Source organism: Homo sapiens, chromosome 1 (assembly GCF_000001405.40).
Source record: "Homo sapiens chromosome 1, GRCh38.p14 Primary Assembly".
In the NCBI taxonomy this organism is placed as follows: domain Eukaryota; kingdom Metazoa; phylum Chordata; class Mammalia; order Primates; family Hominidae; genus Homo; species Homo sapiens.
The window spans coordinates 169,076,372-169,104,006 of record NC_000001.11 but is presented as its reverse complement, the minus strand read 5'-3'; the positions used below and the strand labels follow the sequence as shown (position 1 = coordinate 169,104,006).

At 41.6% G+C, this 27,635-nt stretch overlaps 1 long non-coding RNA gene across 1 annotated transcript in view; it reads left to right on the top strand.

Moving 5' to 3' along the window:
- Positions 17,002-27,635, top strand: part of LINC00970 (long intergenic non-protein coding RNA 970) — a 183,101-nt gene continuing 172,467 nt past the window's right edge. Inside the window, exon 1 of the long non-coding RNA NR_104091.1 lies at positions 17,002-17,052. This is a non-coding gene — a long non-coding RNA (long intergenic non-protein coding RNA 970). The remainder of the gene's footprint in view (positions 17,053-27,635) is intronic.

The following is a 27,635-nucleotide window of genomic DNA, read 5'->3' as shown; positions in this document are numbered from 1 at the left end:
AGGGCTGTTCCCTCAGTCATAAAATTGAAGTGATACATTATTGCAAGGATAAAAGGAGCGATATGGGAAAGTGTTAAGCACAGTGCCTGAGGCATGGCAAGAGCTAAGTAGCTAGCTTAATTATAATCAGCTGTTTCCATTTGACCTTGGCTAACCTTGGGGCTGTTGCTATGACTTTGTCACCTTCCCACTCTGATACCCACCCCATACCAGGACTCTGAGTTCCCATCAGCCCCTAGAAGGTCACCCTGACGCATTCCCCACCCTCTCTGCCACCTTTCCCCTTGCTTTCCAGTGCGCTTCCTGCTGTGTGACCTCCTCCAACTCAAGTAATGAATAACTCAAGTACTTTATGTCCCGTTGGGCTGTGCTGAGCTGGGCTTTTGTTCCAAGGCCCCTTCTGTGAAGGGTGCTGTAGCAGCAGGTTGAAAGCCGAACATGTGTGGTTCTCCAAAGGGAGGGGTGCCCCGGCAGGTGGAGTGTGTGGCTGGGCGTGGAAGAGGGTGTGGACCATGGGGAACTAAGACAACTTTTCAGTCAATGCGTATGGAAACCCAGTGTTTCTCTGCAGAAAGGAGAAAGAAATTATTCAGTTCAGTTTAAAGGCTCAGGAGGAAGAGAACAATTTTTAATCCCTTTTTTCAGTGCAGGCTGGGGAAGAGGCATGGTTCTGGAGTCCTGTGATTGGTTCTGCCCAAGGTTAGTGCTCTGTGGGTGGATGAGGGGAAGCGGAGAGCAGGAATGGCAGGAGAGCGGTGAGAGACCTCCGTCCCAGTGAGGATGACATGTTCTAACTCAGGAAATGAATAGATGCTCTTGCGATTGAAGAAAAATCTACGCTGGAGGCAGACAGGCTGGCAGGTAAAAGCAGGACAGAGCAGTCCTGTTTGTAGCAAGGTGGCCAGTCAGAAGCTGGGCTGGGAGAAGAGGCAGGACAAATCAACCCCTAGCAGTAAGATCCTTCTGTTCAGAGAAGCTAAAGTGAGGGGTGCCTGCAAAAGAGAGGGCGCAACTTGGCAGGCTGCATGAGGTCGAACCAGATTTGAAAAACAGACCTTCCCCTCTCTGCCCCTCCCCAAATATTGGCTCTCTGAATCTCTCTGCCAAACACAATGCAGACTGCTCTTCAGAGGGCTCCGCAGGGCTGAGCTGCCAATCCCACCTTCACACACGTGCTCACTCACAGTGGGGTTCTGTTTGGCCAGCCCTAGAGTATTTTAAGTACAGCGTGGAGGGGATGAGGGTATGTGTTGCATGGTGACTCATCCTGGCAGCAGAAACTATGTGCAGTGCAGAGAAAAATGGCTCAATGGCAGGCTCTGTTTGCAGTGGAATGCACAGCTCTGCAATGGAAGACAAAGAGGGCTGGGAGAGGACGAGCTCTGGGAAATGCTGCTGGACTTGCCACCTTGGCCAGGACATGCATAGATACCTGGGTTGCACCTAACATGGGGCTGGGCTGAGTGCCTTACCATCACAGAAGGATGCCGGATTGCTCCGGGGCTTCATTCTGTGCTGCACAATGGACCTGGCCTGTTTGACAGAAAACCAAATCATTCTCCAAAATGGTTCTGGTTTCTAACAATAATTTAGCACTGCTGCAGTTTAAACCCTATCCGTTCACTTCTTTCATCTGAAGGCATTCTGTTCTGGCACTTTCCTATTTTACTGGATCTGGAATCGAATCCTTGTGTGAGGACATAGTATGGAAATAACAAAAAAAGGACTTTTTTTTTTTTTTGCTAGGGATGTTGGTAAGCGGACCATTCGTGTCATCAGTGGGAGTGGTAGGTTACCCGCTCAACACCTTGGCTCCCAGGCCTTGACTAGCAGACTCCCAGAAGTTGTTTTCTGCTGTGCTGTTTCCTGTTTCCTGAGAGGACGTCCAGAAAGCATCCCTGATATAGTGAGAATACTGGGATTTCTCTCCACCTGCCATGTCCTTTGCCAAATTATTAAACGTGGATAGTGGAGGTGACCAAGGCAGGCACAGAAAAGAAGACACACAGAGAATGATTTTTGTTTGGTTTGTTCTAGCAGGACCGCAGAGGTGTCCGGTCTTTGCAATAATCTGAACTTACTTGCATGATTGGTAGGTGGTAGGCCTGAAGGCCCATGGATAAGTGGTGCTAAACCATTGTTAGAGCTTTCAGACTTAGCTTGCCTGCTTTTTTGTACTCCCCCAGTGGGGGGTAAATTAGTTGAATTTGGTTTTTATCCTTGGAAAATTGGCACCAACCGGCACCTCCTCTAAGCTTCAAAAAATAAAGTTCCTTTCCAGAATTTTCCATCTGCTTAAAAGGCAATGAGCAGACACCCTTCTGAGAGGCTAATCTCAATAAGAGGAGGTCCCACGACATCATTCCCCTGACAGAGGCATTGTCTCAACAGCCCCAGAGACAAATGTAGATGAGAGAGGATCTGAGGTATTTCATGACTCCTCTCTTGCTGGACCACTTGGAGTCTTCTAGAGATAAGGAGGAATATCTATTTTACGGTCTGCTTGATCTTCAGCTTCTTTCAGCAGCGTTTGTTTAGAGCCTAGAGGTAATATACATAGTCATTGTAGATAAACTCATTGTGTATTAACACTGAAGATAATATCAGATATTCTCTAGTACAAACTCCCCTCTCCTGGGACAAGGTAGCTGGTCAATTGGCCTCTTGTTGAACACCTCCAGAGGCTGTATACTCCCTATCTTGCAGCTCTCATTCCATTGTGGGGAAACTCTGGGCTAAATCCTAGCTCCTTATAACTTCTGTCCAATCCTAGTTCTTGCCTTTAGAGGAACAAAATGCAACCCTGGTGTATCTTCCACGTGGCAGCTCTACATATATTAGAAACATCCTTTGTCTCCCTAATTTTCACTTTTTCGAGTAAAAAATCTCGTATTTCTTCAGTACTTGTGTGAGAAACTTTCCAACCCTCTCATTATACTTGCTGCCTTCATCTGCATGATTTCTCATTGGCTCATGTCCCTTTAAAGCAGGTACTCTGGTTCTGAGGAGATCAGAGTTCAGTGGAGCTAATATTTGTGTATGATCTGGACATTATCATCTTGCCAACTACTGTTATCACAAAGCTACGCCTTCATGGCTTTTTTGAGCCAACGCCCCTCTAACACTGATGCCAAGTAAGTGTTTTAGAAAAATCTCTTGTACTTGCAAAAAACAGAGATAACCCCCCTCCCTCAAAATCTAACACAAGTGAAATGGATACCTATGAAGCAATAAGGCCAGGGGGCCATCCATCCCTGATCTCTAGGACAAGGTACTGTAAATGCTGTCCTCACGAGGACTGTCCTGGGATGGTGCTGGGCCAGGGTCCAGAGAGCTTGGTTCTGGCTCTTCTAGCATTTACCCACTGAAATGACTCAACTGAACTCTAAATGCTGCTTCTTCCTTCTAACCAACCCTGACTTTCTCTGCTTCTTCAGCTCTCCCAGTGCCCAACTTTGTTTTCCATGCAGGTCAATTGGCAGAGGTTCTTGTGGTCCTGCCTTTCTCATGATCCTGCAGCTGCAGTTCCCATGGCTAACTGGCAAAGCTTACCTTGCTTCTAGTCTGGATTCCAGGCAAAGGGAATCGGATTGGCACAGTTCACATTTTCCAGCCAGGTCACAGGTTGCTGGGAAACCTAAGCCTGGACTGCCTTGGTGTAGGTTCCTCCCTGTGATGTGGTCAAGATACAGAGGAGGGAGTCATGCAGGATTAAATGGCTGCTTAGCTGTTGCCTGGTGTAATGCAGACAGGCACTTTCAGATAAGCAGGATGACAGGTAGGTGAACAAACACACAGAATAAAAAACCTTTTATACCCCATAAAATATACCAACTTTTCTTATTTCTGGGGTGCTGTACCTTTCTACATCTTTCTAGAAATATTGTGTTTAGTTCGTAGGGATCAAAACAAAGGGAAGAAATGAAAAAAGACTGTTTTGCATTTATTTTACTTTTGGGAGGAGCTGGGAGGCAGGAAAATGTAAAATAATTTGCATAAACTAACTTACAACTTAATTTATACTCATCTCTGTACTTAGTAATGAGGAGGTTTTATGATCTGAAGGAGCAAATCCTTTAGGCAAACCAGCTGTTTGCAGTATCTGTATTCTGGCTAGCTAACAGCATGTTTTTTGATGAATAAATGATAACATTCAGTCTTTCATATGTATCATGCACATGTCATTGCACCCAATCATCCCAGCAGAAGGCACACTCATTTTACTAAGACATTACTGAAATGCATCCTGCATACCTGATGGGCCTCCTGTCCAGTTACATAGCATGACACGTCCCACTGTGGAATTTAACTTCTTAGTTCTAAAAGTCGTTGCTATAACTTTCCTTACAGTGATACCACCAAGGACACTGCCCACATAAATAAGTGCAATAATGAAAAGACCAGTATGATTGAGCCCTGGCTTCTCTAAGAGTTCTTGTTCCATTTAAACCTACTGTCATCATCTTAGAAGCCACACTGATAACTGCATTTATCAGACACTTACTGGAAGCCAGACACCACGCCAAGTATTTAATGTGGATTACCTTCCCTCCTCCCCTGTTTTCTGCTTTATATTACCTTTCTTACAACGTAATGAGGTAGGTCCTATTAGTATCATCTTCATTTTACAAATGAAGCAGCCAAGTCTTTTATAGACTAAGGCTAGCAAGAAGGAAGGCCACCTTCAAACCCAGGCAGTCTAGCTCCAGAGACCAGGCTCAGATCCACTAGGTATAACTGCCGCTTCAGGAGGAAAATGTATACCCACAGAAAGTGCAAGCATAGCTTATGGCACCAAATGGGTGCTGTCATGTAAAGGCTGGTTTATTTTTTATGGTAAAAATCTCTCCAAGATCATGTAAATCTTCATGGAGGTCACTATTTAAAGAAGCATTTTTTTGGATTCATGCACTCATCCATCAATCATTCATCGATGGCCTACTGTGTGTATAGTATTATATTAGAAACTGCGGGGGTAACAAAGAACATGACATCTGAGATGTAGTCTGGACATTTTAGCAGCAAACATTCTGGTTTGGGAGCAAAATACACAGAAATGAGTGAACAACAATGCAAGGTGCTAAATGATTGTGTTTCACAATGAATATCACAAACGAGATACAATGGGAATTTAGAGAAGAGATACCCTTTGTGCAAGAGGTAAATCCTGTACAGAAATATTGATGGTGCCTGAGATAATACCAGGCAGGAAGGAACATTTGTTTGCTAATTCACTGCATATTGATGGACCTCACAGTGTGCTTGTCACTGGAGAGTCAAGACAGTCAAGCAGTTTATTCTGTCATGTGGGGACAGCCTGAAATTTGCTTAGGATGCTAGGAGAGCACACAGGACTTATTCCTCCTGAGAGTTGATATGACTTCTGAAAGATGGGGACATTTGGACAAGGAAGAATTAGCCTGTGTGAGGAAGTGAGAGGAAAGGCGTGGGCAGAGGGGAAGCATGTGCAAATGCACAGAAACAGGATACATTTCATTAGGGTAGAATGAGAGAACTCCTTTGATTGGGACAAAGGGGGTTTGTTTTTGCTGTTGTTTTGTTGTTTTTGAGACAGGGTCTCTATTTCCCAGGCTGGAGTATAGTAGTGTGATCATGGATCACTGCAGCCTCAACCTCCTGGGCTCAAGTGATCCTCCCAGCTCAGCCTCTAGAGTAGCTGGGACCACAGGAACATGCCACCACACCCAGCCAATTTTTTTTATTTTTTGTGGAGATGAGGTCTCACTGTTTTCCCCAGGTTGGTCTCAAATTCCTGGGCTCAACTGATGCTCCCACCTCAGCCTCCCAAAGTGGCGGGATTATAGGCGTGAACAACTGCACCAGGCCTAGTTTATTTTTTTTTTAACAGGGAAAAGATAAGACTTATAAGTGCAGGGTCAAGACTGCCCTTTTATTTTCTCTTCCTTCCTTTCTTTTCTTTTTTAAATGTTTACCTGGGAGCATAGATTCAAGCTGCCCTGAGTATACACTCCCTAAACTGACCTTTTTTTTTTTTTTTAATTATACTCAAGTTCTGGGATACATGCGCAGAACATGCAGGTTTGTTACACAGGTATACATGTGCCATGGTGGTTTGTTGCACCCACCAACCCGTCATCTTCATTAGGTATTTTTCCTAATGCTATCCCTCCCCTAGCCCCCCACCCCTGGCCAGGCCCCAGTGTGTGATGTTCCCCTCCCTGTGCCCATATGTTCTTATTGTTCAACTCCCATTTATGAGTGAGAACATGCAGTGTTTGGTTTTCTGTTCCTGTGTTAGTTTGCTGAAAATGAATGTTTCCAGCTTCATTCATGTCCCTGCAAAGGACATGAACTTATTCTTTTTTATGGCTGCATAGTATTCCATGGTGTATATGTGCCACATTTTATTTATCCATAGACAGTCCTTTCTAAAAGAAGAACTGGAGTGAAGCAGATCCAAGTTCATCAGGGAACTGTGACTTCATGCCTATCACTCCCCCATTCATAAGGGGTAGGAAGGAGAGATGCAAGTTCCTCTAGCATAGGAAATCAGGTTCCCTCCTCACTGTTTCTCCACTGCTGCCCTCCTGGGTTGAAGTGGGTGACGCTCAGCTCTATGCCACGATGGCCAATGGAAAAGTCAAGTGTAACTGTAAAACACCATTGTCCTAAAAGACAGCAATCTTCCTCCTTTTGCTTCTCCCATGGCTTCTGCATAATGTTTGCTTAAGGAAACTTGGACATGTTCAGAAAATGGCCTTTCACCTACAGGACAATATTTCAAATGAAGTTAGAATTAGACTCAAGGAAACCAGGCAGTGGTCTCATAGGATATTTGAAACATATCAAGACTCCCATTTTCTTAGCTTTCATGCACATCTAGATGTGAAATGGAAGTGTTGTTACTTGGAGGTGAGAACAATGTTGTTCTCACCTCCAAAACACAGGGCTTCCCCTCTGCCTGCCATGCCCTTCCCCTCAGTCCTCACACAGGCCTACTCTTCCTACCCCTTATGGGAAAAAAGTGCAGTTACTTGGAAATGATTATTCTCGCCTCCAGGACACAGAATACAGGTATTGTTCTCAGCACCAAACGCAGCTTCCTTCTCTGCCATGGGTGGAAGAAAAGATGCTTCTACCCCTTCCTCCAATTTGAAATTGAGCACTTTACTCCCCAATGTCAACCTTTTACAATTTATTTTTTTTTGGTTCTGTGAACCTCCCAGCACTATAGTTTAACTGTGCATTAATTAAATATCTTTTGGGAGTGTGCTTGCAAAGCTAACCTTCATGTATGTTATCGACCTATAGAAAAATCTGTTGCAAGTTCCAAACAGGTACCATATGGATTTTTAAAATGTAACCTGTTGGTGAGATGCAAACACTTCATCCTAATAATAATTTCCCTTCATTGGCAGATTGGTGCAGGGGTTGGGTGAAACTGAGCATGCCAAGTCGTAGAAACTATCAGATTTGTATGAGAACTTAGAGGCGATTTTTCATATGACAAAGTGAAAACTTAGAGTGGAAAAATAGCTGGTGAGCTTGGGGCAGGGCTGGTCTCTGACTGAGACCTCTTTCTTCCATTCCATGTTCATTTTCCATCTCACGATTCTGCTTGGGTTAAACCACACAGCCACACATGAAGGCGGAGAATATCATTGCCTACATTTGAGGGACTCCAAGGAAAAACTTCACTGTGATCCTCCGTCAAAAAAGAAAAAGAGAAAAAAAAAATCCCCATGATAGCTTTATCAGTTAGGGTTAGGTTTGGCTGTAACAGAAACCCAAAATAACAGCAGCTTCAACATCATGGGATTCTATTTCCCTGTGACTTACAAGACCAGAGGTAGGTAGTCCAGGACTGGGATGATGGCTTTATTCCAGTAAGTCCTCAGGGAGCCAGGCCCCTTCCAGCTCATCTTTTTACATCCCTTCTACATGGTCCTTGCATTCATGGACACCAGTCATCACATCCAGGGTGGAGGAGGGGAAAAACAGAAGTGCCAACCACCCTTCAAGGCAACATCCATCCTAGATGTCCTGCACGTCTGCTCCTACATCATTGGTCAGAACTTGGCCTCAGGACAACACTTAGCCATATGGGATGCTCGGAAATACAGTCTTTGCTCAGGGTACTTGTCCCCTGTTAAAAATTAGAGGTTCTGTCACTGCTTATGCCACAGTGATGCAGAGAAACTTGGCACATATGGATGTGCTCTTTTGTGTTAGTATTGTCAAAGCCTTTTTCCAAGACGAATCCTAGGAGGGGGCCCATTGTCTCATATTTTATTCTCCAATGAGAAGATCAAATCGCTTTCTTTTGTGGTAAGAAAGACAAGCCATTCGAAGAGCAAACCATTAGAAGAGTTCAGGCCACTGGGGTCGGGAGACATGGCTGTGGAAATGACAGGGGCATAGAGCTGGAGAAAAATCTTAAAAAGAGTGCACAGAAACAGATGCATGCCTTGCCATGGCACAGTCTGTGACGTTGCCCAGTTGGCAAGGGCTGGTTCTGTTAATATTCTGCCCACCCACCACCCTTCTCTACTTCCTGTTGCAATCATGGCTGCAATATCTGTCAGCCTCTTTGGGGGCTTGTGGGATTTAGACAGCTATTGTCCATTCTTAGTACAAGTTGCAGCCGGGAAGGGTGTGGTTACTCAGCCCCAGCATGCCAGCTGGGTGCCAGTTTCAGCATGTTAACTGACAGTAGGGCTTAGTGCAGTTCCCATTTAGGTGTAAACTAATAGCTACTTTCAGCAGATCACTAGTCCTTCAATTTCACTAGCCTTCCAGAAGGATGGAATATCACAGCGACACTTGGAAGCTTGTATAAGAGTTGACCAGCACTGGACTACATATTATTGAGGACACTAGGTTGCTTCTCCGACTCTGTAAACTCCCCATGGCCACAAGACCTTTGCACATGCTATTTCCTCTGTGTCTGGAATGTTTATCTTTCCCCTCTTGGCAAGATAACACTCTGGAGTCTTTAGGGGAGACTTCCTTGACTTCTAAGAAAAAAAATGCCTTAGCCACAGGTTTTCCTATCATTGTATAACTCTTCCTTGTGCCATTTGTCACAGATAATAATTTTTCATTCATGTGATTATTTGCTGAGACTTTAATTTTATGAGCACTAGCTTTTGCCACCTTGACATCCCCTGTGTCTAGCACAGTGATGGGTACATAGTATGCACTCAGTGAATTTAGGTGAATCTATGAAGTCGCTGCACCTGCACATTTGTCTCCAACCCTAATGCAACTATAGGGTTTATCAATATATTGACGTGAACTGTCTATATCAGATTTACCTGCTTAGCTCCATTAACATGCAGATTCCTGGACTTTATCCGAACCCTATTGAATTAAGGTATCTGAGGAGGTACCTGGGATCCTCATGTGAATAAGCTTCCCAGGTAATTTGCACACACCACAGTATTTGAGAAGCCCATTGCAGTTGGGAAGACAGTACAGTATAGGTATTATTAAGAGGCCCATGCTGCACACAGGAATGAGCCTTCAGGATAAGACTGTTGTATTTAAGAGCTACCTCAGTCTACTTACATTTAGAGAGAAGAAACTTATAAAACAACTTTCTCTTTGAGATCTGAAAATGCCAAGGAAAATTTGGAGACAGCTGTTAATTGAGCTTAGGGAGTCCAGATTATGTGGAATGAAACAATGTGTGTTCACGGTAGCACCTGTGCACAGACAATTTCAAAGAAATAAAGCAAGACTTGATTGTCACCCGGTAGCTCACTGTCTGCCCTCCCCCCAACCAACCTCCTCTCTTAGGTAGAGTAGCGACAGGAAATCCTTGTTGAGGGGCTTCTGAAGCAAAACCTAAGTCCTCCACAGAACCTTAAGTCTGATTTCCAGCCTCCAAATTTAATCACACATATGGTCACCTATTAAAGTGAGCTCATGCACTTTAATCCTTGTTTTCTTTAAAATTAAAATAATTGGAGTATAATTGTTCTGAAGTTAAAAATCCACATGACCAACCACAATGAGTGAGGTCTAAACATACAATTTAACAACAAATGGTGTGAAAGTCCTTTAAAACAAGAGTTACACTGAACATTTTGGTCTTTCTTTCTTTCTGCCCACCCGGTTGCTTTTTAAACTCAACACCAAAGGCCTCTTCTTCCTCTTCTATAATTCTTTCCTTCTCTGCCTCATCTTGAGGGCAGCTTCCTATCTTTCTTTAAGGATCATAGATTCTTTACGTTCCAAGGATTTTGTCCTTTCTCCCATTGCCCTGGCTTTTACCTCCTCTTTTTAGTATTTTAACAAGGTTTTGAATAATCACTGTCATTTCTCTTTTAAAAACAATTCATTATGCTATCTTGCCAAATATCCAACTCTTATATATTAATAGCTCCACTAAAAAGAAAACAGAATGAGCTGATGTATGAATTAGGGTTATGAATAAAGATTAAAAATTCAAACCATGAAGTATTCAAAACATAAGAAAATATCCCTAAGAAGGACTCAAGCACAGTACCCAGAGAACAACTAAGAAGAAGGGCTATATTCAAACTGTGAACTCCTTAAAAAAAGAGACGAAGTATTATTTTACTTGTGAATTATCCAGTTTCCAGCACAGTGCCTGGAACATAAAAGTTTCAAGAAATATATGTTGAATAAATCATTGAAGGAGGAATCTCCAGTTTTAACCAGGGGACTTGCTAGTTTAATGTAAGGTTGATATTCAAAGTAAACCTCTTCTGAACCCCAAAAGTTTATTGCAACCTAGCAGTAACTTACCTGGCCAGATGGTTTAGAAAGTGGGTTGTTGGCAAGAGGTATAAACTGTTCCCTTCTTGAAATCTGTGATCCTCCCATCACAGCACTTGAGACCTTACACTTCAAGGTCCTCAACTTTTCAGGGATGTTTCTGGGTTATGGTAGTAAAAAAAGAAATTTTTTGATGACAAAATATAGAGGATTTTATCTAAGAGCCCCTTTGTAGACTTAGCCAGATATATTTAATTGTGGTGCTGTGGAAAGTGCATGGGTTTCCAAGACACAGCCATCTGAAGCTGTGAAAGTTACCTAACTATATGAGGCTCCACGTTCTCATCTTGGAAACGGAAATAACGCCATCTATATTTTATTTTCATTGTGGGAACTTGAGAGAATTAAGGCCTTAAGACCTAATAGAAATCAATACATGATAGCTTTTCTCTTTTGAATTTAAGCTGAATAGTGAGTGATATTTTTGTCTGTTTCATCATGGCTAGCTTCCAGTGCCTGACACAGAATAAGTACTTACAATATTTGTTAAATAAATTACATTTTTGTTTAGTTACCAAGTCACAGACTGGAGATGCATCCTTGTATTTTGAATATTCTAAAATAGTAGAATGTCTGGTGTTCCTATTAGCATCTGGCTTTAAGATGTTGTATCTATGCCAGTGGCAGCTGTGTGCGTTCCCTACATCACATGGGGCAGTAGTACATGCAGTGTCTAAGTGGGTCTTACAGTGTGGTCCCCAGACCAGCAGCATCAGCATGACCTGGGAACTTAGCAGAAATGTAAATTCTCTGGCCCCATTCTAGAACTACTGAGTGAAAAATTCTAGGGGTGGAGGTCGGTTGATTCTGATGTGCACCAGTGTTTGAGAACCAGAACTACAGGTATATATAAAACTCCCCAGTGCTGTAATTAGACATGATATGAGCACTGGATGCCAGAGAATTGATGACTTGCACTGAGAAAACATAATCACTGAGGATTTTAGAATATGATGCTTCCAGAGCTAACATACTCCTGGTAGAGGATTTTCAGGAACCTGACAGATTCTGAGTTCAAATGCTTCTTCATTGAACTGGCCTCATGATATGATCTATAGACATGTGCCAGAAGCATTACCTAAACTGCTGTTTTTACTACGGTGCCCCTTCCACCCAGCTATAGCAAAGTGGACTGGAGTGAGCACTGACTCAAGGGAAGCTCCATCTATAAGCTAGCCCTCAATTCTTGTGTCAGGCAAGATGTAAGCCAAGCTGCTGTAATAGAGACCTAAAAATACAGGGAATCAAAGAAAATAGCAGTTATTTCTTTCTTTTGTAACAGCCTGGTGGTGAATAATCCAGGCTGGAATGGTGACTCTGCTGTGTGGGTATTCAGAGAGCCTGCTCTCCTGTCTTGTTACTCTTGCATCCCCAGTGGTGGTGTCCTCCTTTGCTTGACTGAGCCTGAGTCAACATTGCATCTGCATTCTGTCTTACTGCAAGGAGAAAATCCAGGACAAGTGGCTTTGTCTTTAAGAAGACGATGCCAAATTTGTACATCTCACTTCCATTTATACCTCATTACTCACATAGTCATACCTTGCTGCAAGGCAGGCTGGGGACTGTAGTGTGCAACCGGCAGCCATGTGCCCGCATAAAGCACACAGGGTTCTATTACTAAGAAGAAAAGAAGAATGAACACTGGAAGACCACTAGCAGCTTCTGCCAGAGTTCTGAACATCTTCTCAGTTCCTCTTCTCACGGGGCCCTCTGTACCAAGCAGCCCTGTCCTTGGATTCCTGTGAGATTTCTGTATCCCGACATTAAAACCCTCTTTTCTAGAATTAGCCTGAATGGGAACCTGTTCTTCGTAACGAAATGCTGGGGATTAGAACGGTGTACCTCAAATCCCTCCTATCTTAGTAAAGGTTGAAATAAACAGAATTTTGATGGGTGGTAGGCTCAGAACAAGCACAGAATGAGAAGGATTGTGCAGTCCTGACTACAAGGATGGTCATAAGATGAGGCTGGCTGAGAATTTCCCCCACACGGCAGTTCTGAGCTGTCTTGAACACTCTGTAACCTCCATGAGAGCCCCAAGCCCAGGCCAGACAAAGCCATGCAGTGCGTTAACTTGTCTTTGGCAGCTTTCAACCTCTTTCTGCATTTTCAGCCAGTGAGATCCCTGCCATCAGAACTCCCATGTCCTGTGCTCATTCCCTCAAAATTCCGTGTTCTGTTGTGTGCACAGGCACTAGGGACTCCTTGGGGATCAGTGCCTTATTTAATGTGAAACTAGTAATGGGGAATTTTAGGTCCGTTTAGTTTATTAGGGGCTTTTGGTGTCCTGCAAATAGCACCCAGGCAGGGTCCTTTGGCCATGTTGCAGCAGCAGCTCTCTGTCTGCATTCCAGTATAATAGACTGTGAGAGAAATAACATCTCTCTTCTTCCTTTAGGTTCAATCTGTCATTTACAATTGCCAATTCTATTTCCTGGAAAAACAAAAACAAAAACAGGTAGAACTCTTAGGTCTCTTCTTTCTCCAGCCTTGTTTATCTCCCTTCCTCTTTTTAAGTTGACCGTTTTGATTCTGCTGTTCAAATGCCTGGATCAGATCAAATGCCAGGATTGCTCACGGTACATTCAGTGAGGGATTATAATAAACTAAGGGGAACCAGGAGAAACCCACAATGATGGCATTTAGCACATTCAAAGTTGAAAATAAAGTCAACGTTTATCCTTAATCAGCTCAGTCTTGATCTTACTCATCCTGGGTTTCTTGACTCTGTCTCTGGTTAGTTTGCTCTTCCATGGGCTGTATCTTGGTACTCCACAATTTTCAGTGAAATACATTACAGCCCCATGACATTCTGTTTACAGTAGGTCTTATAGAAGGAAGGTAAGAAGGTGGGGGGAGGGAGTGAGCACATTACCAGGTGAATGGTCGCTGTGTGCCAGCCACAGCTAGATGCTTTTAATCCTCAAAACAAAATGAAACAAAACTGGAGAGGAATTAATATTGCAATTTATGGGAAAATGGAAGACTATGCAATTTGCCCAAGTTACTAATACCTAATAAGTGGTACACTCAAAATCTAATCGAGGTTGTCTGACTTCTAAAGCCCGTGCTCCAAAATTGGCATCAACACATTTATGTAGAGTCTTTTACTAATGCCATTAATTGTTATACCTTGGAAAAAAGGGGAGGCATATAGCTTATTTAAAGCACATTCTTTATTAGTGAACCAAGGATGGAGAGGGGGATGGAGAACCACTGTGAATACATTCAGTAATTTATCAACAGGGGACTTTGTTTTGCCACAGCTTTATTGTTTGACTCCAGAAGAACCCATTGTCTATTCTGTGACTTAGTTTTACTATCAGATTAAAAAAAAAACAAAAAAAAAAACGAAAAACAATGTTCTCAGTGTTTGAAGAGCTTAGTAGAAATCTAGATTTTTATATGGTGTTTTGCCTAGATTTCCTTTTGATTTGTAGGATTTTTATATAAATTATTTATATAAAATAATAAAAATAATATAAATATATATTTATATTAATATATTATTATAAAATAATATAAATAATAATTATTTGTATGCTTATTTATGCAATCAGTTATAAACACCCCATACAGAGCAATTTCATTTTAATTTTTTTGTTTTGGAGCGCAGTGGTGCTATTTCAGCTCACTGCAACCTCCTCCTCCTGGGTTCAAGCAATTCTTGTGCCACAGCCTCCCAAGTAGCTGGGATTACAGGTGTCTGCCACCACACCATGCCGATTTTTGTATTTTTTGTAGAGACGGTGTTTTGCCATGTTGGCCAGGCTGGTCTCAAACTCCTGGCCTCAAGAGATCCGCCCACCTTGGCCTTCCAAAGTGCTGGCATTACAGGCATGAGCCATTGTGCCCGGCCCATTTCAGTTTCTGCTACAGCACTAAACTTACGTTTCTTAAAGGTAGGCCTTATGTCTTCATCAAGGAATCCTAAATTGTTAGACCTGAAAGGAACGTGAGAGATCATATTATGGCTGATGATATCTTTTTCTGTTTCCCTCACATGACCTGGCACCATACCTTGTATACAGTAGGGGGTTTAATAAATAGCAATTGTGTAAGTAGATAAATGCTTTGTACGCTTTGTAATTTGACCTCTCCCCCATATCGTCTATGAACAATGATACAGGAACAATTTGAATCTCTGAACACAATTATTATGTGTTTTATGCAATCATAACCACTCCTATAGGAGTTTGCTTGTTTTTGTAAGTGTTTTCCTCCTGAAATGACCTTTACTATCAGTTAGGTTTAGCTTAGAATATGAATTCCATGTATTCAAGTATTTTGTAGAAAAAATACCTCTGTCCTCTGTGATCATATTAGAGCTACCTGATGACAAAAACAGCATTTGGGTAACACCATGAAACTGCATCACTCACTGTACTTACTTCATCAGTATATCGTCTGTACCAAGCCTGGAAACCAGTTTACCTCTGCCCTGGCTTTAGGGCTGACTTCATCGGTGTGCAATCTATGCAGTTACACGGCGTCCTTAGCTTAGTGGAACCCCCTGCTTGGATTAATGCTCAGTTGTCACCTTTTTGAAATTCTTAATAAATTTTCTGGCAAGTGCCCTGCATTTTCATTTTGCACTGGACTCTGCAAATTATGTAGCAGGTCCCGACTCCCTGTCTGTGTTTGAGCATTTTCTCTCTCCCTTTCACATCCTCCAATCCGGCTTTCCAAAGGCAGAGACATCACATACACTCATCTTAGTGGGACCTGAAACATCTGCCAGGCCTTTAGAATAAACTAGTAAGTGAAGTATTCAAAATAAATGGATATTCATACATACTGGCAAACTAATGGAATGGAATGATCATGCATAAATCATTGACTGGTGCCAGCCACTGAGCTATGGGTTTATATACTAATTTTGTTTAACTGCCACCTCAAACCTGTGAGAGAGTGCTATTATTCTGATTTTACAAATGGGAGAAGGGAGGCTCAGGAAGGTCAGTAAGTGGCAGAGCTCACACACTGAGTTCTGATGTGTCTGAGTCCAAAGCCCATTCCCATTTCACTGCATTCCTAACTGAGGCCTGGAAAACTTACCCCTGAGATCACAGCATTGCCTGAGAGGAAAAAGGACTTTTCCTATGGTTTTCACACTTTCACTTTTTGCACTGGATCTTTCAGTTGTCTGGTTAACAACTAGGTTACGTCATTCTATATGGGGCTTTCAGATACAGAGCAACTTTCCCAGGACCACCCATTAAACTAGAAGTGAAGTGATATCGTTGTTCTCACTATGATGGTAGGGTGAAGGAAGCAGATTGGCCATGCCAAAACTGATGTCCTCTGAGATCCCGAGGCCCAAGCCAACATTTGACGGCATACCTCACTCAACAACACTTTTACCTGTGTAATAGAAAACAACAGCCATTTATAACTCGCTTATTCATTTTTTTTTTCCACAGGCCTCTGCGCAGCATCTGCTATGTGCAGGCACTGTGCTAGGCCCTGTGGAGACAATAATGAAAAAGATATAGCCCCTGCTTTTCAGATGGTCACAAATTGGCAGAAGGGTGCAAACTCATAACTCTCTTTATTCCAACATTTTGCCAGCTCTGGTTGTAAAGTTGAGGAGTTAGGAGTTGGAGTAAATTTAGGAAATGGGTAGAATATTATTTTTGCAGCTCATTGGAATTCTCCCTTGTTACAGATCAGGGTCCTGGGTTGGGTGGCATACCTATGCCTGTCATTATTTGCATCCCTGGTTTAACAGCTGGCTCTGGCCAATCTTATACGATCCTCTACCTTAGCAAACAGAAACACAGTTTTTGAAAATTCACATGAAGAAGAGTTGAATAGCAAATAAGTTCAGCCTTGAGGCTCCACCTATTACCTGGCTGTTGAGCTTTGTAAAACCATTGATTGTTTAACAGCCAGCAGGGCAAGAAGGCCAGAATTATGCTCAGCAAATGCAGAAACAGAGCACAGTTGTCTGTGTGTGTTTCCATGGTAACAGTGATAACAGCTTATATTTATAGACTCTCTATCTCCAAGGAGCTCAAAGCACTTTACAAACACATCATCTCTCTTCTATAGGAAAAAGAGAGAAGGAGAGAGAGGGGGATAGGAAGAGAGGTAGAGAGAGAGAAAGAAAGGGAGAGAGGGAGGGAGGAGGAAGGGAGAGAGGGAAGCAGGGAGGGAGAGAGAACAGGAGAAGAAGGAGGAGGTACAGAAGGACTTGGTGTGCTATTATGCACATTTCACAGATGGCACAGAGTGGGGAAGTCAGTGACCCAAGGTGGCAAGGTAAGCCAGTGACAGATGGTAGATTGGATGGACCTAGTGGCTCATATAACTCCTGGAACTTTTGCTGCTGGCCTTGAGCAGATGTCAGGGCTGAGCTGCTGTCTCCTAGTCATCTTGCTCTGTTCAGTGTCATCTAGGTGATCAGATAACTCCGGGGACATCAAAAGCAGTTTGGCTCAGTATTGTTGGTGGGAAACACAGGGAAAATTCTTCCATGGGGAGTTGGGGATAATGTCCAAAGTCCTTATAGCCAGACAGCCACCAGGCAATCCCAGACTGTGTTCCGAGGGATGACAGGCTCAGCTGTGCTGCACACTCATACTGAGGCTCTGCGCACATTGATGGAAATGGTTTTCTTCAAATAGAGCCCATTTCACAGTTTCTGAAGGACCTTTGGAGGAAATGCCTTTTGGGTACTTCTTTCTGAGACAACTATTAGACATGTGATGTGACTTGGAGTTATCTGAAGGCTGTAGCCTATGAAATTGAAAATGAGTTTTGTAAATCTCAGATCTACTATTTTCTGTATAAAATTCTTGTATGAATAGAGCCATGTCCTCTGGTGGAGGCCTGAACTCTTGGAGTGGGTTAGCATGAATCTCAAGCTCTTGAGTCCTGGAGCAGCCTGTCCCCATTCTTCTTTAGCCAGAGTTGGCCTTGGTCCCCACTTCTTACCCTCACAGGCCTTCTGTTTTCCCCCTCACTGCCACCTCACTCCACATTTAGCCTTTGGAAAATAGCAACTATTTTCTCTTCTAAAAAAGAGTCATTTTCTGCAGAGCATTCAGTCAATCCAGCCAGCAGTCCCCATGGCAACACTGAGATAAGATCCTTCCTCCCGCAGGTCTTCAGTGGTCTTGATAAACAGATCCCACCGGTTCCTGCAGCCCATGACCTCAGGCTGAAGCCAAAGATGAGCTTCTTGCCTGTTTAGGCTTCAGGGATGCTGGACTGAAGGGCTGATAGTTTGAGTAGCTGAGTCCCAGCAAAGTTTAAATGCTTTACAAATAGGCTTCTGACCCCCAAAGCAAAAATAAATTAAGCAAAGAACTTCCTGAAGGAGGAGGAGCAGTTGTTGGAGGGCCTTCTGGTTTCTGCACCATCTTAGTAGTTGACCTACATCCACCAGCGCCTGGAGGCTCACCCACCCAGGGGGAGTGAGTGGGCTCTTCCTCTGACCCTCTCAGGGTGGGCTGCACTCAGACTGAAGTTCTTTCTCTTCCTTCAAGATGCCAAGCTCCCTCTTACCTCCTGGCCTTGAGCTCCAAGCAGGAAGGAGCCCCAACCCCTGGTTTTGTGCCTGGTGCATACTCAGAATTTGTAAAGGAATGAACTCCTTTTGGCTGTTCCCTCCCTCCCTTAATCTTCACACCTTTTTCTTGGCCTTCCCAGTCCTCCTCCTTAAGGTCCCTCTTAGACACTCTGAAATTCCATCTCTCCCACTTCTTCCTATATAGTATTTTATCTTTCCCTCATTACAGCACTTATCACACACTATGGCAATTGCTTATTTTGATAGGAGTTTCTGGATGTCACTGAAACTGGCTTTTGGAGGTTTGTTGGAAACAGCATTTAAAGGTTTACTTCTGAATTAAAAATTAATATTCTGATTATTAAAGTTAGGATTAAAAACATAGTTTATTTGGGTTCAACTTATATGTGTAATTATTTTATTTTATATTTTTCCCAACTTTTAAGTTCAGGGGTACATGTACAGGTTTGTTACTATTTTATTTTTTAGTCTAGCAGAGTTTAGCAATCACTTCTAAAGGGCCTATGAATAAAGTTAATTACTTTCAAATAGTTTAAGCTATGATTATTAGTTATAATCGCCATCTCTTTCTTTTCCTATATGCATTTGTCTGTATTAACAAACTAAACTTTTTGGAGGACTTTAATACTCATATACATTTAAGCTCTTAAATGTATAAATATAGGATCCTAAGGTTCTCTTGTATGTTCCAGTAAACTTAAGAACTCAAAACCATAAAATTTCACATCAATTACTCAATTGTATTTTAAATGGGCCTTACAAGGCTATCATTCTAATAGGTCTGATTCTATTAAAAATTGCAAATACACAAAATAGCAACTATACACAATTTTATTCTTTAATACAAAATTATCAATACTATGGTTTGGGTCTCTCAAATCTTTCCATACTTAATTCTCAATCTTCCTGGTGTTAGGAAACACATAACCTACCTAAGGGAAGGCATTTGCCATCACAGGTAAATGAAGTTAGTTTTGCCCAGAAGATGGTCTTCCTGGTGACCATGATGGGACTTAGCCTTATTTAATGCTTATAGAGTCATAGGTTTTCACACTAAAGAGGCTGGTCTCCCACAGCCTTTGTCATTCCATCTGATTCTTTGTTTACTCAGAGGAAGCCTGTAGTTCCCATTCTTATTGATCACTTCACTGGATTTTGTATTTCCTTGTCCCTTAAGATTTGTCAGTATATTTACAAGTAACGCTAACTTAAACTTGATGGAATCGTAAGATTTATATACATTATCTTCTTGTTAATAATAAATACATTTGACCTTGATGGGGTTTCCTATTCTCTTATATTCTTAGGATCATACACGTCTTAGGGCTATTACACGTGATACTCTGTTGGGTTTTGTCTCACTCGTCATGACTCTTGAGGTCATTCTGCTTGCTGCTCCAAGGTCTCCTCCATTAGACTGTGAGCTTCCTGAGGGCAGGGCAAAGATGATTTGTTTGGAGTCATAAGCCCAGAATTCAGCATCTTTCTTGGCAAAGGACAGACATTATTGTCACTTGACCCTCCAGTTAAAGATAACCAGGAGCACACCTATCATTGAGCATCTTGGCCCTATTACTCATTGCAACGAGGCAGAATGCACACCGTGGACAACCATGGGGTATCTCAGTAAAAAGGGGCCAGAAGGACTTAGTAAAGGATTGGGCTTGTGTTAGGTTATTTTGAGAAGGGTTTAAAGAAGCAGGCTCTGCTCTGGATTGGATGCTATCAGAAAGTAGGAATAATTGAGTATGAGGAGTGAAGACTATAAGGAGTGAAGACTAGAATTAGGCTAAAGCTATGATTGCCAAAGAAGTAGCAGTCACTCATATTATCAGACTAGGGGAATGTTTAGGCATTTCTGAGATTTGAATAATGTTCACATTTTTGTCTGTTTATGTAAGATCAGAGGAGTGTTCTTGTTTTTGTCTTGCTCCATTATGGTCACAGAGTTTCCTCTGTTGTGTGAAGTTGTTTCTGTTTAACAGAACACCAAAACCTCTCTGTGAGTGCTGGGCCAGCTAGTAGCAACACTAGGGCCTAGCAGTGGTATCAGGGCAGCTCCCAGATGTCAGGGGCTGCTTTCTTTTTCTCACTATGCATATTTGAAAACAAATAAATGAAGGGATGTCTCATTTAACTCTTACTGCAATTCTGTAAGGGAGCTGTATTTCCATGTTATAAATTAAGAAACTGAAGCTCAGAGAGGTTCAGTAATTTGCAAAAAGTTGCAGAACTATTCAGTAGAAGAGCTGGGATTTTAATTTGGATCCACTGGACTCCAAAGCCCAGGCCACCACATGAATGAACAACCATTCTGGCACAAAACAGTTCTGAAAACTGGTCTGCTGCCTCATTCCTAATGGATGTATATTAGGATTAGAAGCCACTTATTGCTTGCATAAAGAATGAATCTTGTAATTCAAGTTGTTCCTGGAACTGAGGGTTATGATCTGTAGAGGAAAGTAAATTGACTGAGGAGTCCATGAAGAAGTCTGAGGAGAATGTGAGGGTGGTAGATGTTGGTACACACACAATCTGTGAGCTTCTTAAACCTAAAGACAGTGGGCAAAGTAGTAATCTTGATTGGGTTGACAACCGAAAGCCAGTTTCCTACCTGGCAGTAAACCTACAGACCCATGTCCAAATGTGATAGGTTTCCCCAGAACATAAAAGAAACCACCCACCACAAATGCCACCAATAAACATAATAAGATAATTGAAACGTGTGGAATAACGTAAACTTCCACTTATTTCGGAACTGTATGATATACTTCATTGTAGAAATGGTCCTGCAGACTCTTGATCAGAGTTCATAAAAGTTTCATTTGTAACTGCTTGCCTATAAGGGGCCCATATTCTCAAAAGGCACTGGGGCTGGCAGGGAAGTTTTGATTTGAATTTCTTGCAATGTTAACTGGCTTTCAATCTTATTGCAGATCATTAACAAAGTCATTACTGTGGCGTGCAAGATTCTATACCTTAACCCTGGCTGCACATTCTTAATTATTTGGTGAATTTTTTTTTTCATAGCAATGGGATCTCACTGTGTTGTCCAGGCTAGTCTTGAACTCCTGGGCTCAAGTGATCCTTCCACATCAGCCTCCCAAGTAGCTGAGACTACAGGCACATCCCTTGGCACCTGGGCTGTGATTTCAGGAGATTTTTAAATATTTTCATGCCAAGATCCCACCCTGGACCAACTGAATCAGAATCTCTGGGAGTGAGGTTTATATAGGGATCTTTTTCATTATGGTATAATTGACATACAAGAAATTGCACATATTTAAAGTATACAGTTTGGTAAGTTTGATATATATAACCCCCATGAAAGCATTACCATAATCAAGATAGTAAACATATCCATCACACCCAAAACTTTCCAAAGTTTTGTGTCCCTTTGTAATCCTTTCCTCTGACCTCACACCCCCCAGCAACCAGTGATCTGCTCTCTGACACTATAGGTTAATTTGCATTTTCTCGAGTTTTACCTTAATGTAATCATGAGTATGTACTCATTAAAAAAATCTGCCTTTTTTTTTACTTGACATAATTATTTTTGAGATCCATCTGTGTTGTTGCATATATCATGGGTATTTTCTTTTAAAATCATTTTTTTTTCCTTTCTTTACTGTAGCCAGGTTGAGAGCAACCAGCCAAGGTCCACACTCAGGGGTGCTGGGGAATTCCAGATGCTCCTCAGCATCTCATTCACAAAGGCTCTGAGCAGCTCTAAGACAGGGCTCCTCCAAAGGCCGGATCGGAGTGGCCCTTAGCACAGCTTTGGCTGGCCCAGGCTTATTCTCCCACTGTACCCGCTTCAGATTCACTGGGCCTAGGAAGTAGCTTGTATATGGCCTTAGCATCTAATACCTCTTTTCCCTCTCCCCCAGCTGCCTGTCTCCAACATTCACCTTTCAGTGTCGCAATACTCTATGCCTTGGAGTCTAGGGAGCAGGCTGGAGGGCCCAGCCAGCAAACATTTCCCTTCCTTGCATGGGCTTTTGCTTACCCATAGGTCAGATATTTCCACCCCGGTTGGTGGAGTCAGCAAGGCTGGCACAGACCAGGCTCTCAGCCCCCTGCTGTTTACTTGCCAAAAATATTTCTGCAACTGGAATTCAATTTGGAACATGTTTTACATTTGGATTTTCTTAGGAGAATATTTTAATTTCCTGATCAAAGTATGATGTGCTGTTCTTCTGGCTAACAGCTCCCGATGTTTTAGGAAATGGAGATCCCAGCTGATTTATCTTCCTCGATTTCATCCCAGTTCCTTAATGTGGACACTGTTGAAACTAGCAAAGACTCCAAACATAAAAACACCTAAAGTGTACAGACGTATTTAAAATGTTGACTCGGGGAACTTGTTATTTCTGCAAAACCTTTGACTGGAAGGGAAAATGTCCTTTAGAGGAGCCCTGTCTCAGAGCTGCTCAGAGCCTTTGTGAATGAGATGCTGAGGAGCATCTGAAATTCCCCAGCACTCCTGAGTGTAGACCTTGGCTGGTTGCTCTCAACCTGGCTGCAGAAAAAAAAAAAAAAAAAGAAAAAAAGTGAGTTTAAAAGAAAATATCCATGATATATGCAACAACATGGATGGATCTCAAAATAACTATGTCAAGTTTTAAAAAAGGCAGTTAAAAAAAAAGAGTAAAAAGCCCAGAGCTTGATTGTTTGTGTCATTTACTCTCCAGCAAGTCTGTTCTCCTATTCCATTTTCACCAGCTATGCAGAGTCACTTTGAAAAGTATAACTTTTGAAGAATGACTCCAATCTTTGTAAGGCAAGAAGGAAAATATCTACATCTATATCTATCTAAAACATTATTGCAAGACTTTTTGATAAAGAAATTTTAGGTGGTTTTTAGAGTGACATTTTAATTCTAAAACCTGCCTAGGAAGTGAACTATATTAAAATCTTATCTGATATTGGATAGATATATAAATATCTTCTGTCTCAAAAAGCTGATGTTGTGTTTGTTAGTAATAACAATGACTTTCCTCTGGGAATGCTTGTTAAACCTACAAGATAAAGAAGGCGTTGGTTCCTCCTTGGCCTTTAAGTTAAATTGCAGAATATCTTTAACCAAAAAAAAAAAAAAGAAGAAAAAAAAACCACCACTGTTCCTTAGAAAGACTATTTGAATGAAGAAGTAAATTGCTGGGGAGAAATTGAAAAATAGGTAAGATTTACAGGTTGATTTATTGTTGATAGACATTGGCCTCTTTATAGACTTGCGTTTTAAGTTTTATATAAATGTGATGGTGGCAAAGTACAGAATCTAAGTGTGCAGTGGGTCCTGGCATGATGGAACATGAACTGTTCTGAGAATCAAGAGACCTGAATTCTAGTATAGCCTTCGCTGTTACATTTTGAGCTTAAGCAAAACATGAAAACAAAAATATCCGGATCTCAGTTTTTGTAAAATGAGAATTACTAGCTGTGAATCTAGTATGTTCCAGATAGCGTAAATATTGTAGATTTTGTAGGTACAAATGCATTCAGTCAGTCATTTACTACAGGAATCTCACAGAAAAATAACTCTATTATTAGTGCATGCTGCCATTAGGTGTGGATGATACTTTATCCACAGGTTCTGTGCTCCAAAATGGTAGGCTGGGAGGCTGAGGTGGGAGGATTGCTTGAGCCCAGGAGTTTGAGAGCAGCGGGGGCAACATAGCAAGACCTTGTCTCTACAAAAAGTAAAAAAAACCTAGCTGAGCATGGTGGCATATATCTGTGGTCCCAGCTACTCAGGAAGCTGAGGTAGAAGGATCACTTGGGCCCAGAAGTTTGAGGCTACAGTGAGCTACGATTGCACCACTATACTCCAGCTGGGCCACGGAGAGTGACCCTGTGTCAAAAACAAAAACAAATAAGCAAACCAACCCCCACAAACCAACCAACCGACCAACCAACCAACCAACCAAACAAAAAACCCAAAGTGGTAGACTTATGCCTATACTTATGCCATACCTGTGGTGTATCTGAAATACATGCTATATTTCCACTTTCACCCCTTTAAAACAATATTTGTTTAAACATTAAGCTTAGCCATTATCACACACTTATTAGTCACAGTCATGACTTGCTCAAGATCTCATTATTATTATTATTATTATTATTATTATTGAGACAGTGTCTCACTATGTTGCCCAGGCGGCTGGTCTCCAACTCCTGGGCTCAAGTGATCCTTCCACCTTAGCCCCCCAAGTAGTTGGAGTTACAGGCACCCAACTATGATCTAATTTTATCCACTGTCTACACGTGCTTCTTGGTCTAGCAGCTCAGACTGGGCTCTTGGTGATAGCAATGTGGTGCATCTCTGTGCCCCTAAGATTATGAAACAAAACCTTGTCCAACCAGAAAACAGTAATTCCCCTGTTTCTCCAAAGGCTGGAAGTGCTTTGTATTAATGGAAAGATCCTAGGTATTAATAGCTTAACTAGATGTTTACTTGAAGTGTAAATATTGCAGCATGATTTTTTGTTAAGAAAATTTTAGATAGTTTTTTTAGTGGCTTTTTTTTTTTACTTTTAAAACCTGCCTAGGAAGTGAACTATTTTAACAATATCCTATTTGAAAACATTCGTTTATTTTCATCATTGTACATTATATGCTAAATAAAATGAAAATACAATAGTTCACAAGGTTTTTCCAAATAGTGAAAAGGGCTTTCAGGAGAGAAGACCTTATCAAAAGTTCAGTTGGGGACTTAAAATTTAATCCTATGCCCTTCAATAGCAAAATCATAACTATAACATGTGGCAGCTGGAGACCAAGAAGGACATTGGGAAACATTCAGAGGACAGACTGTCTGGCATAAAAGCCTCCATTAGCACCAAAACCAGCCTTAGGCATACAGATCTACTGTATTGATTTTGGCAATGTGTCTACCTTGTCAGGCCAATAAAATTAGCTGAAGTTGAAAATTGAATTAATAGCACAACCTAGTTCCCTCTGTCTCTCCTTTCACTGGATTGCAATTTGGTCTGGCTGAATGTGGCAAGACCTCTCTCTCTATGCCCAAGCTCTTCCTCCTCTCCTGGTCAGGACCTGGGCAGCCCCAGCTTCAGGAAGAGGCAGGCTGCCTGAGAAAATCACTCTTGTTGGCTTCACACATCCACAGGCACTTGTTGTCTGTTTAAGAAAAATTAAGCTTCTGTTTACTCTGCAAAGTGTATTCAATATCATTCTATCTACAGACAGATGTGTGCCTAGTTAATCCAGTTGTGCAGAAAAAAAAAAAAGATTAACTTGGATCTAGCTAAACAGTAGCAGCAACAAGGGAAGCATTTCAGCACTTGCTTGGGTGGCTCATGGGACATTCCTTTATGCTTGCATAGCTTGGAGATCACAGAACAGGTGTGCCCAGGGGAACCATGGATGGAGGGAGGGTAGGGTGGCAAGAACGTCTACCTGTCCCATATCAATTAGAAGTTAGGATTAAATATATACATTTTTAAAGAATGCCTTATAGCACTCCACCTGAAGGCAAAGGGAAGGGAAGGATGTGGGCTTCTTAGAACCATGGGCTGTTTGATCTGGAGAAGCCCTTAATTGTTTTCAACTGGAACCTGCTCATGTTACAGGTAAGAAGGCATAGTTCCTGAAAGGATAGGTGTCTGCCCAAGGACACATGGCTGATTAAGTAACAAAGCCAACCTCAAGACCTGGGTTTCCTGACTTCCTGTCCAGTGGTCTTTTTATTATACAGTGTCTCCTTTATTTACTAGAGACTCTGACACTTTGGAAGACAATGGATTCTAATCAAAGCCTCGCTGCTGATTTTCCGTATGACTTTGGGCAAGTCACCCTCTCCGTGCTTGAGTTTTAGTCTCTTCAGATGGGGCTGGAATGGGCCAAAGTGACTACTGTCTAGAGCTCAAACTCCCTGGAGAAAGGTACACTCTAGATGTTATTTCATGTGAGCTTCCTGGAAGGATGCTCTCAGTGGTAAACTTTACCCAGACATGCCTGCTTTCTTTGCTTTTCTTTTGGACATGGAGATTGCTTTGTTTCTTCATCAGAGTTTGTTAGAGATGGCTTTATACAAGTGTCGTTAGTTATAGAAATCTACCTGTTAAAAGACAAAATTGCAACAAATTAAAGATCTCAATCGGCTTTACTGCAATTCTAGAATCGGGCAAGACTTTTTTCCATAAAATAGAATGTATTCTCATAAGTGCAGCAGAGGAGGCTGGTTTTAGAGAGAGAAAGGACTGAAGAAAGCAGAAACAAAGAACAAAAAATAGACTGGTCATTTCAAAGTTTCGTTATAAGGCGGAGACAAGAAGACAGAACAATGGAAAGATAACTGATTAGTTAACATAAGGTTACTTCAGGCTACCTTTTTGTGTAAGGATTAAAGTACAGGTAACTTTATTATCATGCCAATTGAAGATTGAAACTGGCCAGTTTGGGAAATTGGTGTTAACTCTTCTGATTTCTTGGAAGGGCAGTAACAACTTTTAGATTTATGATGTGGAATTTTAGCATGGGTGACTCCATTTTAATTTTTCTTTTGGTCTGTTGGGGCCTAGTGCAGGAGCTTAGTCCAAAACAATGGTCTTCTCTAATTTTTATTTAACAATTCAAATTCTTTAAAAATGTGAATTCTTCCCTTTCAGTCTTTTCCCAAAATCGTGGAGAAGATGACTGTACCCTACAAATGGGGAAAGTAAAAATGCAACAAAAACCAAGGTCTTTCTTAATATGATTGAGATTAATGCTTTGATCAGGATATTACAAAAAAATAATCAGTTGGTTGTTTTCTGGTTTAAGGAAATCTAAAAGTTGAAATGCTGTGAACTTCCAAGAAGAAACTCAAGGCACTAGTTATTCCCATTCTCAAATGATTCTTTGCTTTCTTGCAGATTTTTTCATTAGCATGATGGAAAAATGCAATTCACTTTACATACATCTGTTGTATGAAATTTTTAGAACTCATTAGGGTCATGTAGTATATGATCCTCTTTATCCCATATTTACCACACATGAACCACAGTTCTGGTGATCTCTGTCTTCTCCCATTATTAAGTCATTTTAAGTATTATTTTGAAGAAAAATAACATATATATGTTTTGTAAAAGGCACATGTAATTATTGTGAAAGAGTAAAAAATTACTCCCCAATTCTACCACCCAGAGATAACTACATTTACCACATTGTTACATATCCTCACAGAACTATAGATATAAGAACACTATTATGTAATACTAAAAGTACTACATAACATATAATAATGCTAATGTATTATTTTCTGCATATTTTCTTCAACCTGCTTTTTTTCTATTAATATGTTATGAAT